The sequence below is a fragment of the Homo sapiens genome, chromosome 12 (genome assembly GCF_000001405.40).
Source record: "Homo sapiens chromosome 12, GRCh38.p14 Primary Assembly".
Classification (NCBI taxonomy): Eukaryota; Metazoa; Chordata; class Mammalia; order Primates; family Hominidae; genus Homo; species Homo sapiens.
Genome location: NC_000012.12, coordinates 26,828,179 through 26,840,651, shown reverse-complemented (window position 1 = coordinate 26,840,651; position 12,473 = coordinate 26,828,179). Strand labels below are relative to the sequence as shown.

General features: G+C 46.4%; 1 protein-coding gene across 8 annotated transcripts in view, besides 4 other annotated features; it reads left to right on the top strand.

The window, feature by feature from the left end:
* Positions 7,113-7,482: a silencer, noted in NCBI's record as "silent region_4305". NCBI's record gives its function as "represses an Ori minimal core promoter by ATAC-STARR-seq in GM12878 lymphoblastoid cells {active_cell/tissue: GM12878}" and the evidence as "EXISTENCE:reporter gene assay evidence [ECO:0000049][PMID:35858748]".
* ITPR2 (inositol 1,4,5-trisphosphate receptor type 2) overlaps positions 7,458-12,473 on the top strand; it is a 497,843-nt gene continuing 492,827 nt past the window's right edge. For all 8 annotated transcript variants that reach the window (XR_001748686.3, XR_001748687.2, NM_001414174.1 and 5 more), the window contains exon 1: positions 7,458-7,962. Coding sequence is in view for 5 of the 8 variants with exons in the window: in NM_001414174.1 (NP_001401103.1) it covers positions 7,871-7,962 (92 nt within the window). In the remaining 3 variants the exon portion in view is untranslated. The remainder of the gene's footprint in view (positions 7,963-12,473) is intronic.
* Positions 7,643-7,742: a silencer, noted in NCBI's record as "silent region_4304". NCBI's record gives its function as "represses an Ori minimal core promoter by ATAC-STARR-seq in GM12878 lymphoblastoid cells {active_cell/tissue: GM12878}" and the evidence as "EXISTENCE:reporter gene assay evidence [ECO:0000049][PMID:35858748]".
* Positions 8,023-8,132: a silencer, noted in NCBI's record as "silent region_4303". NCBI's record gives its function as "represses an Ori minimal core promoter by ATAC-STARR-seq in GM12878 lymphoblastoid cells {active_cell/tissue: GM12878}" and the evidence as "EXISTENCE:reporter gene assay evidence [ECO:0000049][PMID:35858748]".
* Positions 8,353-8,482: an enhancer, noted in NCBI's record as "active region_6128". NCBI's record gives its function as "activates an Ori minimal core promoter by ATAC-STARR-seq in GM12878 lymphoblastoid cells {active_cell/tissue: GM12878}" and the evidence as "EXISTENCE:reporter gene assay evidence [ECO:0000049][PMID:35858748]".

The window sequence follows — 12,473 nt, the reverse complement described above, 5'->3', positions numbered from 1 at the left end:
GGGACTACAGGTGCCTGCCACCACGCCCAGCTAATTTTTGTATTTTTAGTAGAGACGGGGATTCACCATGTTGGCCAGGATGATCTCAAACTCCTGACCTCCAGTGACCTGCCCGCCTCGACTTCCCAAAGTGCTGGGATTACAGGCGTGAGTCACTGTGCCTGGCCAGATGGCTTGTATTCTTAAAAAATGTCAATGTCACTGAAGCCAAAGTGTGGCTAAGGAATTGTTATAGATTAAAAGAGACAAAAAAAACATGAAAACTGAATGCTATATGTAATTCTAAATAGGATTCTGTCCTGGAAGAAAAAAATGATGTAAAAGACACTATTGAGACAGTGGTATATCAGAGTTAAATTTCCTGAACTCGATGGTTGTTCTGTGGCTATATCTTTGTTCTTAGGTATACATGAAGTATTAAAAGGCAATAGGGCATGATGTATGCAACCTACACTCAAATGGTTCTGAAAATAAATTGCATGCGTACGTGTGTAAAGGCAGTGATAAAACAAATGTGGCAAATTATAAAAATTACTGAATTTAGGTCACAGGTATTCTTATAACTTTTCTGTAAATTGGAGATTATTTCTGTAAGTTTGAGGTTATTTCAAAATAAAAATTAAAAACAGATCATTTTCTGAGCCACTAGCCAAGGTTTGTTTCAACCTCTTCTCCCCAACCCCTACCGACATACAATCACCCCCTTCAGGAATGTTAGTAAGTCCCCACCAAGACAAGCTAAATCAGAATCTCAGGAGCTAAGGCCCAAGGATTTGTGTTTTAACAAGTTCTCCAGGCGGTTCTTATGTGTACTAAAGCTTGAGAAACACTGGTTTAGCCTAGTTAAGAACCATGCTTGGAGTTGGGGGTGGGGTTAACCCCATTGGGCTGTTACACTATGGGGGAAAGGTGGCTGGGGATAGGGGAAATGGCCACAGGATCTGTCTCACATGACTGTTAAGATGATAGTGGCTGAGATGGTTACATTCTCCCCTATCCCGCCCACCTTTTTCCTTTTAGCTTTGACCCAGAGGCCTTAAGGACACATTTTTAGTCCAACATTTCACAACAGGAGGTATACGTGACTAATGTATATTTATTAGAGAGCAAATTCACAAAACTCTCCACACTGAATACAAATTGATTATGGTGAATTAGCAGAGTTGTTCATTTTTGGCCTAGTGAGGAGTAGCAGAGATTTTTCCTTGGGCATGGTGGGCTGCAGGTCCCAAGCCCTGCCCCACAGGGAGGCAGCTGAGGCCCGGTGAGAATTCGAGCACAGAGCTGGCAGGCTGGCACTGCTGGGGGACCCGGCGCACCCTCCGCAGCTGCTGGCCCAGGTGCTAAGACCCTCATTGCCCGGGGCCGGAGCTGGCCGGCTGCTCCGGGTGCGGGTCCGCCCAGCCCATGCCCACTCGGAACTCGAGCTGGCCCACAAGTGCACTGCAGCCGCGGTTGCCGCCCGCGCCTCTCCCTCCACACCCCACAGCAAGCAGAGGGAGCTGGCTCCGGCCTCGGCCAGCCCAGAGAGGGGCTCCCACAGTGCAGCGGCTGGCTGAAGGGCTCCTCAAGCGCAGCCAGAGTGGGCGCTGAGAGCGAGCTAGGGCTGCCAGCACACTGTCACCTCTCACCTACAAGAGCCTGGCCTTGGATGTTCTAATTGGAAGTGATTTGGTATGTCAGATTTGTTGATCTGTCTGAGTAGGGAAAAAGGAATTGGAGATTGATAGAAACATTGATGGAATGAGGGGGATCAGTGGAGCCGTTTACATGCCCAGTCTTTGGCATGGTAAGGATGCCTGTATCCAGAACTACCTACATAAATTTTCATGGCTCAGTGAAAAATAAAATTGTGGGGCCTCTTGTTAAAAAATAATCAAGAATTTCAGGATAGCACCAACAAAACATCAAACCAATCATGGGGCCCTGTGCTATTGCACAGGTTGCAACACCATGAAGCAGACCCTGCCTAAATCTCATGTGGTCAAAAGGAGGCCAGACTTGCTAGAACCCACCCAAGAGGTTTGTTGGCCTGTGGATAATAGTGTCAGGGGTGGAGCTGAAGGGGTTGGGAAGAAGTCAGGCTGGGGCAAGCTCTCCCACTTCGAAGAACTGTGCACTGCGAGGTCTTTCAGAGCTTTTAAAATCTTCATCCACATGCCCAGCATAGAACTGCTATTTGACAACCACCTGACAAGAAGGCCTCTGCAACCAGTCAGAGTTTACTAGATGAGCAGTGGAGTCGTGAGGACTGAAATTGCAAACCCAGGTCAGAATGATATGTTTGCTCATTTCATCCTGATCCTGCATTCCCTTCCCAACACCCAAGAAGCTAAAATGTGAAGATGTAAGGGAAGGAGTAAAAGAGAAGACCACATCCCTCCCTGATGCTGGCCTATTGATCTAAGGAAGTCTGGAATGTGTGTGTGTGTGTGTGTGTGTGTGTGTGTGTGTGTGTGTTTTGAGACAGAGTCTCGCTCTGTCACTCAGGCTGGAGTGCAGTGGCATGATCTCGGCTCACTGCGACCTCCACCTCGTGGGTTAAAGTGATTCTCGTGCCTCAGCCTCCAGAGTAGCTGGGATTACAGGCATGCACCACCAGGCCCCGCTAATTTTTGTATTTTTAGAAGAGATGGGGTTTCACCATGTTGGCCAGGCTGGTCTCGAACTCCCTACCTCAGGTGATCTGCCCGCCTTGGCCTCCCAAATTGCTGGGATTACAGGCGTGAGCCACCGCACCCGGTCATGTGTGTGTATTTTTAATAACCAAAAATGACAATGACTCTAAATCTAAGAGCTCTCCTTGAAATATTATTAAAAGACAGAACATGTAGATTTGATAGAACATTTCCCTTTGTTGAAAGGGAATGATTTAAAACCCCATATTTTATTTGCACCTCATGAAGCAGACTGCTCAATAAACCAGTTACTATTAAAAATTATATTTAGGCCAGGCGCAGTGGCTCATGTCTGTAATCCCAGCACTTTGGGAGGCTGAGGTGGGCAAATCACCTGAGGTCAGGAGTTCGAGACCAGCCTGGCCAACATGATGAAACCCCATCTCTACTAAAAATACAAAAATTAGCCAGGCGTGGTGGCAGGTGCCTGTAATCCCAGCTACTCAGGAGGCTGAGGTAGGAGAATTGCTTGAACCCAGGAGGCAGAGGTTGCAGTGAGCCGAGATCGTGCCACTGCACTCCAGCCTCGGTAACAAAGAGCAAAACTCCATCTCAAAAAAAGATTATATTTATTACAAGGCAGGGAATAAGAAAAGGGATTCACAAAACACTCAGTTGACAGATAATAGATTGCAAACCCTTTCACTTCTAGTGTTGATCTGAGGATATCCAAGTGAACACTGAATGTAAATTACCCTGAAAACATCTCCGCTAGAAGAACTTGTTACTGAAACCTTATTTTTAATATAGGCAATCCTTTGGGAGTAAACATTTCAAATATTACATCCTGCTCTATTTATTATCTCTCCCTATGGGTTTTTTAGGGCATGATAACTTGGGCTTTTGCTGAAGTGACTCATAGTCTCAGCACAGGAGACTTTTTGAATATCATTTGGTGGACTGTTCTCATCATCCAAAGTAATAAACATATTTAAGCATTCAAAAATTCTAAATTATTTATTATTTCATTTATCTACCAAATATTTATTGAAGTCATAAATGGGTACTGCTAGTCCCCATGAGGGGTAAAACATGAATTAGACACTGTTCTCATTTTCAGGATGTTTCTAGTTTGGTAAGACTCAAGATGTACAGATATAACAAGAAGGCAAGGTGGAAAGTGTTGAGAGGTACCTTAAAAGGTATGTGCCCTTAGACCAGGCAACTGAGTCCCTGACCTGGGCTCTGAGTTTTACAGGATCTTCTGGATTAAGGGGACACGCTCACCAGAAGCCTGAACTTCCTCCTCTAGCTTCTAAACTGTGTCCTGAGTGTCCAAGATCCCAGAATCTCATACATAAATTCATTTCCCCAAGTATAGAGACAGAAGCTGGAAACGTGGGCCAACTCTCTCTACACTACACCACCTTTTACAGTTTATTAGTTAATTAGCAACCTTTAATATTTAGACTACGTAATAAGGGCCTCTGATACTCTCGGCATGGAAACCCACAAATGTTAGGGGGCAAGTTGGCCTGGCTATGGGAATTCAGGAGGAGGCAGAACTTTGCCTTGGCAGTATATAGGAAGTTCCACTGGGGAAGGAGAACTTGGGCATGCAGAGGTGGGAGAAGGGAGAAGAGGAACTTCTGGAAGAGGGAACATCACACTCAAAGACATGAGACTAAAAGTGCCAGGTTACATGTGAAAAGTCTGGCTTTCCTGGATACCAGGAATGGAAGGGCAGAAACTCAGGTTGTAAAAGGAGAAGGAGACCAGATCATGGATGGTGTGGAATACAGGACATGGTGAGTGAGGGTTTGGCAAACTGTCTCATATTCTTAGTATAGGAGAGTCTATTTAGAGTGACTGACGTTCACATCTAACACTCACATCAGCAGGTAGGCCTTACTGTAGACAATAAGCTGTCATTGGAGGTTTGAGCAGTTTTGATGAGATCAACTTTGTAAGTATAAAGCTCTGGCTTGCTATGGGATAGCAAGTGGGAGAGACTGGAAGGGTGGAAACAGGCAACTGTGTAGAAGAGGGCAATGATATAGGAGAAGGTGAAAAAGAGACATATTTGAGATAATAGAAAGGAAGAACTAGGTAGAGAAACAAATAAAAAGTGATCCCAAGACTTTGTATGAATCCCTTGGCCACCCCTTAGGCCACCTCTCTGTGGCCAGCTAACCATCTTTGCCATGCCAACACAGAAGAGTGACCAGCTCCAGTCCCCAGACTATATTGGATACCTCTGTGGGTGTTGAGTGGTGGGTGGTAGGGACAGGGTGAAGAGGAAGGAAGACATTGGATTTGGGTACATGGTTTGAAGTTTGCACCTGTTCATTAGCATAAACAACCACTACTTATTTTGTGTGTGTTGTCCGCAGATAGTTTGTGACTTGAAACAAAGATTATTCACAATTTTGATCAATAATTTGGGTACACGGTTTGAAGTTTGCACCTGTTCATTAGCATAAACAACCACTACTCATTTTGTTTTGTTTTTCGAGATGGAGTTTCGCTCTTGTTGCCCAGGCTGGAATGCAATGGCGCGATCTCGGCTCACTGCAACTTCCACCTCCCAGAATCAAGCAATTCTCCTGCCTCAGCCTCCCAAGTAGCTGGGATTACAGGCACCCACCACCACACCCAGCTAACGTTTTTGTATTTTTAGTAGAGACGGGGTTTCACCATGTTGGCCAGGCTGGTCTCAAACTCCTGAGCTCAGGTGATCCCCCCACCTCTGCCTCCCAAAGTGCTTGGATTACAGGCGTGAGCCACCGTGCCTGGCCAACCACTACTCATTTTGTATGTGTTGGCCACAGATAGTTTGTGACTTAAAACAAAGATCATTCATGACTTTGATCAATAATTGAGCATCCACTGGATGTATAGCACAGTAGTGCCGTGCAATATGGGGAACAATACAATGTAATGCACAGATCTCTTGGATAAACAGAAACTTCCATTTCCAGGGTCACTATGTTGTTCTGTCTCAGCTTTTTAATAACTCCTATGCCCAATGTCTTGGTGGCCCCCAACAGTGATATAATGTGTGTAGACAGAGAAGGGCTGGATTATGTAACAGGCATTTCTAAGTTGTCAAGTAACTTTTTACAAAGAAGGACACATAAAAGGAGATCTGTCAGCTGCATGCTATTACAATGACTGGGTCCAGTTTATCTCAACACACACAGGCTTTGCACTGGTGTTTCCTGGATTCAGTGTCTATTCCCTTCTATCTAGCAGGCTTTTTAAACACAAACTTTTGTTTTTTTGAGACGGAGTCTTGCTCTGTCGCCCAGGTTGGAGTGCAGTGGCGCCATCTCTGCTCACTGCAACCTCTGCCTCCCAGCTTCAAGCAATTCTCCTGCCTCAGCCTCCAGAGTAGCTGGGATTATAGGCCTGTGCCACCACGTCCGGCTAATTTTTGTATTTTTAGTAGAGATGGGGTTTCGCCATGTTGGCCAAGCTGGTCTTGAACTCCTGACCCCAAGTGATCCTCCCGCCTCAGTCTCTCAAAGTGCTGGGATTACAGGCGTGAGTCGCTGCGCCTGGCCTTTTGAATTCTGGGCTAATTCTTTCATTTTCTATTATGTGATTATAAGTCTCAATCTAAACCATCTTTGAACTGTAAGACATGTAAGACATCTGACTGTAAGTTACATTTTGGTCAGTTGCACAATTTGACACAACATGCTTCTGCACACCCCAAGTTCCTCTGCCTTTCTACAAACTTTGCTCTGTGGGGATTACTTATGTAGCACTTTTAAATTAGGTGGCTGGTATCAAAACCGCCATACAGTTTGCCTCCACTGTGTCTTCTAGAAGGGAAGAGCAAAAGGCTTTTAAAATCATGTTCTAAGAAGAGGGCTACAGAAGCAACAGAGAAGGCGTGGAAAAGTGTCTAGCTGCGTTTTGCTTATAACGGCTGGAGCTTTAAGAGTCAGCAGCTTTAAACGTAAACAAGCCAGGGTTGTCTTGAGCCGGGGACCTTGGGCTGATGGGGGTGGAAGGTTAACCTCGGCTTGGAGTTAACGAAGCGCAGGAGGCGCGGCCTCGGAGGCTTAAAGCTCAGCTCCACTGAGCCCTCACCGCTGAAGGTTGGCTACAAAAACTGGCTTGGCCAAGTGACGTTTACCTCCTTGGAGGCTCGCGTCCACCTGGACATCAGCGGACGGGTCGAGTTTCATTAACGCCGCGTACTTGAGAAAAGAAGAGGAAAAAGACCACCCAAACTACATAACGAAATCGAGATCATCCTCCTTCCCTCACTCTCTTCCTTCCTCTCTTCTACTTTCTTCATCATGCATTTATTTTTTATTTGTATTTTTTTCCTTTACTTCAACGCCTACCTCTTCCTTGGCCAGCAAATTACCCACCCCGCTGGGGCTCCACCTTTTCATCTCCAGCAGTTCGGGGGCTCTCTCCATTGTGCTCGGGTCCTACAGTGCGCTCGCCCGGCCGCCACCTCTCACCCTCCCTGCCCCCATCAAGCTTCTTCGAGTTCCCAGGCAGCGACTGTCGCGCCCCAGGTCCGGCCTCTCCAGGGCGGCCGCACGCGCCCGCTCCCCCGCCGGGGTCCCCCGCCGCCCCTCCAGCGCCGCCCAGCGTCGCGTCCCCGCGCGGGCCGGTGCGGCGGCAGCAGAGGCTTCCCGGGTGGCCCGGCCTCCCGAGGGTCGCCCCGCCCCGGCCCAGCTCCGCCCCCGGCCGCTGCTCCCTGATTGGCCGCCCCCCCACCTCTCCAGGGCTCCTCTCCTCCTCCTCGCCCAATGGGCACCGGCACCTGGTCCAAAAATTCCCCTGAGGGGACCGAGGGGGCTCGGCCACTTCCAGCTCCCGCCGGGCGGCTGTGACGGCCGCAGCGGGTCGCAGAGCAGGGAGTGGACACGGAGTGGGGAGCGGAGAGGGAAGGAGGAGGAGGAGGAGCAAAGGTGTTGGAGAGAAAACTTCAGAAAGGAACAGGAAACCTGCCGGGGAGGCGGCGGCGGCTGCGGCTTCTCTGGGCGCCTGGGCTGCGCTCTTCGCGGGGTGTCCGCAGCTGCGGCTTGGCCCCGGTCTGGCTTCCCCGGCGCGCACGCACGGCTGAGCCGCGACGCTCAGTGGCTCGGGCCGTGCCCTCCGCCGCGGCTCTTGGCCGCTGTAGTCCCGCGATCCGATCCGCTTCTGCCGCGGCGGCTCCCTGGAGAGAGGGCGGCGAGGGCGCAGGGAAGAAGAGGGACGTCCACTGTGGAACATGAAGCAGCATGACTGAGAAAATGTCCAGCTTCCTCTACATAGGGGACATCGTGTCCCTGTACGCGGAGGGCTCGGTCAACGGCTTCATCAGCACCTTGGGGTAAGCGGGAGACGAGGGCTGGGCAGCGCTCGCGCTCCGGGTCCTGGGAACCAGTCCCTGTCCCTCCTCCGCCGCCCGGTCCTCCCGCTGCCGCGCGTGGTGGCCCGGCCGGGCAGGGTCGGCGCCCGCGGACAGCGCCGTGCGCTCCGCTCTCTCGCTCGCCCGCTCGCAGGAAGCTGCCCTGAGAGGCAAGACTTTCTCAGCAACTTCGTAATCTCAAGCTCAGAGACACATCAGAAAGGAGGAAGTGATTCAGAAGCCCGGAGACGGGCCCGGCGAAGAGGTCTTCGCTGGCTTCTCCCTGGGTTGTTTTGATTAAAATGTGTGCTTGTTTTCCCTGGAAGGTAAAACAAAACACCCCCCTTTTCCACCGTTTCTCGCTACCGTCCTCAGCCCCTGGTCTCTCAGTGCCGGGTTTGAAAGAGCAGTCGATAAAAGTCCGTGGCCTTGGACATGAAACTCAAGCGATGTGGTGAGCCAAAGTGTGGCGTTGTCCTGCGGGAGGAGCTCACCGTCCCCTCTTCGCTGGAGCAGTTTCCTTTTGGCCTTGCCGAACCAGGACTCGCCCCACTGGCCTGGGCAGCCCTAGGGGCATCTGCAGCGCTGTGGCCCTTGGACGTCTCTGAGGGCTTCCTGGGTTCTAGAACTCAGACCTGCTATCTCTCCTTCCCAGGCCTTGGCCCACTGAAATGCTGAGCCTCTCTTGGAATTTAGCCAAGTGAAGAGTTCTTGAGATTCGAGTTGAATGGGGGGAAAAATATATATATATATACACATATATGTATATATGTTTATGAATGAGGGAAATATATATTAATATATTTATATATTTTATGTATAATATATATTTATATATTTTATGTATAATATATATTTATATATTTTATGTATAATATATATTTATATATTTTATGTAGAATATATATTTATATATTTTATGTAGAATATATATTTATATATTTTATGTAGAATATATATTTATATATTTTATGTAGAATATATATATATATTTATATATAAAACAGTGTGCCAAATGGTTAAATAGGACTTCCTTGTTTTCTCTGTTCTGATTGGGAATAGCAGTGTGCAGTTTAATTGCACGCTGCAGTATATTTTGATGCACAGGAAATTTTTTGTTACCTCGTTGTTTCAACACTTAGGTCCCCCCGCCCTACATTTCAGGCTGTGGAACTGGTGTTTCCACTCCTGTCTGGCTACTGTTTTCAGCTGTTAGGCTTTGGGGCAGATGACTTAACCTGCAACGACCCGGGACAGTGACTTCGAGCTGTGTTATAACGGACTGCTGCCTACCAAGCACTGGGACGTGGAAGTCACCAGTACTTCCACAGTTCCTGTTACTTGTGCATTCCCCCTAATGAGTGAAAGAAGGGAGGTAGATTTAATTCAATCCCTTTTCCATCAGTGTTACTTTCTTATGCAACTAAAGCGTGGTAGGAAAAACACGTTAGTGCCAAGCGCTTCTGCTGGGTTTGTGAATCATGAGCTACCACTGTTTTTGAGATCATTCATGATACAAGTTCAGTTTCTGGGCCTCCAGCAACATTTTGCAGGTGGACTCTGCTGCTCTTCACCCTCCGTAGACTCTCCAGGTGTGTGTGTGTGATGTAGTAGTTAAGCAGAGGGGGTTCCATGGACAGAATACTTGGGGTTTGAATTCTGGCGCTTCCACTTGTAAACCTTATGACCTTGGGAAAGTTACATAAACTCTGTGCCCCTGTCTCCTCAGTTCTACAAATGGGAATAGGCATGGTTTCTACCTCATAGGGTTGTGGTGAGGAAGAAGAGATTAATATATGTAAAGTGAGTAGCATGGTACCTGGCACAGTATAAGCACTGATGTGTTAGCTATTGTAGTAATTATCATTGCCTTGGTGACGGTGAGCCATAGTTATATTTGTGGACAAAATAATAACAAGGACTAGGAATAGAGTATAAAACCTAGACAAAGAAAAGAACTTTTTTTTAGTGTCTAATTCAGCAAATGTATGCTTATGGATAACTTATAAAACAAATACCAGAAGGACTATATAGATGGCATATCAGGAAGCTACAAGTTTGACAGTTGTGGAGTCGACCCTGATCATTTTAGAGATTAGGAATTGAGGTTAAGAGAAATGAAGTGACTAACCCAGGAAACAGAGGGCATTAATGCCAAAACCTGGAACCTAATCCTGTCTCCAGATTCCCAGCCAAGAGTGCTTTTCTTTGGTTATACATAATAATCTTTAAACCTTGAGAAAAATAAGCTAGACTAACCTTTAATGTACAATATACATTTGTGTAAATATCTCTGATTTGTATTCAACTTTTTTGTTGGTGTTTTGAAGGTTGAGCTTCCTTAGTATGCATTTGTGCAATATATTGTTTTTCTATTAATGAACTGAGTCTTGTTGAAGTTAATATGACAAAGCCTTCGTGCTGCTAGATTCTAAGGTGAAGAAGGGTCTTTAGAAATGCTGCCATTGGGCTGGGCACAGTGGCTCATGCCTGTAATCCCAGCACTTTGGGAGGCCAAGGCGGGCAGATCACTTGAGGTCAGCAGTTTGAGACCAGCCTGGCCAACATGGGGAAACCCCATCTCTATTAAAAATACAAAAATTAGCTGGGCGTGGTGGCGGACGCCTGTAGTCCCAGCTACTCGGGAGGCTGAGGCAGGAGAATCACTTGAACCTGGGAGGCGGAGGTTGCAGTGAGCTGAGATTGCGCCACTGCACTCCAGCCTGGGGGACAGAGCGAGACTCTGCCTCAAAAAAAACAAACAAAACAAAACAAAAAGAAATGCTGCTATTGGTGAAACCTGGTGCTTTGATTGGATATTCTTTTTCTGAGATAGACTGCTCAGAGTTTCAGATAACTTTGTAGTACTTCAGAAGTCAGAGGTTGGATATGACCATGCCTCCCTCCTGGTACTTGCTTCTGAACATCTTTTCAAAGGACAGTTGTAGTAAAAGTCATTGCTGATGTGCCCTGGTGCAGTTTCCTGGCCTTCACTGGAATAGTGTCCAAAGGATACTCAAGGGAAGCATGGTGAGCCTAGGACTTAAATGGGTCCTGGGTGAAGTGAATCTCTTTATAGAATAAGACAAACTGTAAAATTAAGAATGCCGTGATCCAGCCTGGGCAACAGACGGAGACCCTGTCTGTACAAAAAATATAAAAAATTAGCCAGGTGTGGTGGTGCACGCCTGTGGTCCCAGCTGGTCTCAGCCACTTGGGAGGCTGAGGTGGGATGGTCACTTGAGCTTGGGAGGTCAAGGCTGCAGGGAGCAACAGTCACACCATTGCACTCCAGCCTGGGTGACAGAGAGAGCCCCTGTCTAAAAAAAAAAGGTGCTATGAAATCTCATTTGACAAATGTGCATCAAATTTTTATGATGCATAAAAATATAGCAGTTTTCTACTTTGAAAACAGGGCAGTGCAGAAAGCGTTAATTTTTTTTATAATAAAAAATTGGGAATATCAAAAAATTAAACCTGAAATCATTATCTTATTAATGAACATTTCCAAATTCTGCTGTATGTGGGATATGCAAATAATGTTGCAAACACTTGAAAGTTGCTTTCAGAAAGCATCTGGCACGTCATTGAAAAAGGCTCATTTAATTTCTAAAGAAACCATGCTGTTCATTTGCTATTCTTCTAAGAATTACATTTAAAATTCATATAAGAGAGAAGAGGAAACTTAGGAAGAAAGAAGTGAATTTATTTTCCTGACCATAGGTCTTCCATCTCAACAAAACTATGTGGCTCTTGTGCCCAGGGCTGTAGGTTTGCCCACGGCTCCTTGCGGTCCTCTACTCTGTACCTCCAGCCATCAGAGTATGTATTTCTGTGGCAGTTGTTAGATAAGATGCTAAAACTGACTTTTGGCTTTGATAAGTAAACCAAGCTACTTTATCCTAATTTAAACTGATGTATTTTGCACTCATCTCATCGATTTTTATTAACATGTGGGTGGTTTTCAAGGTTGGGAATCCATAAATAAAATAATTTCCTAAAATTCGGGGTGAAAAAGTTTCAGCTATTGAGAAATAATCCCATTTAATTTCATAATGGCTTAATTAAGGCCATGGAATATAACATCTGATGCTTTTATCCTGAGAAGTCAGACTGATTCATGATTTTGTTCCCTCTGCTTTCTGTCTGTGACATTGCAGTTTTTTAATGGTCCGTCATGCTTGGTTTTAGTACTTTCTTAAGGCTGTGGAATCACATTGGGCTCAGATTTTTAGGAATTATAAAACTCATGGGAACATATGTCTGTGCCACGTGAAATCTTATCTAGGTACATGTAGGGGTAGCACTCCCTATTTTTTACCTCGGAGTACAATTGGTAGATATTTTATTTTGCAAGTTGGTTTTAGGGCTATGAAACCAAAGCAGAGTGGTAGTTGTGATTTCTCATTGTCTTGTTGTGGGGTCATTATTTGTACACTTTCTGCTTCAAAGACAGAGTGCATCTCTCTAGTTGAATTTTCTTTCTCTTCTGT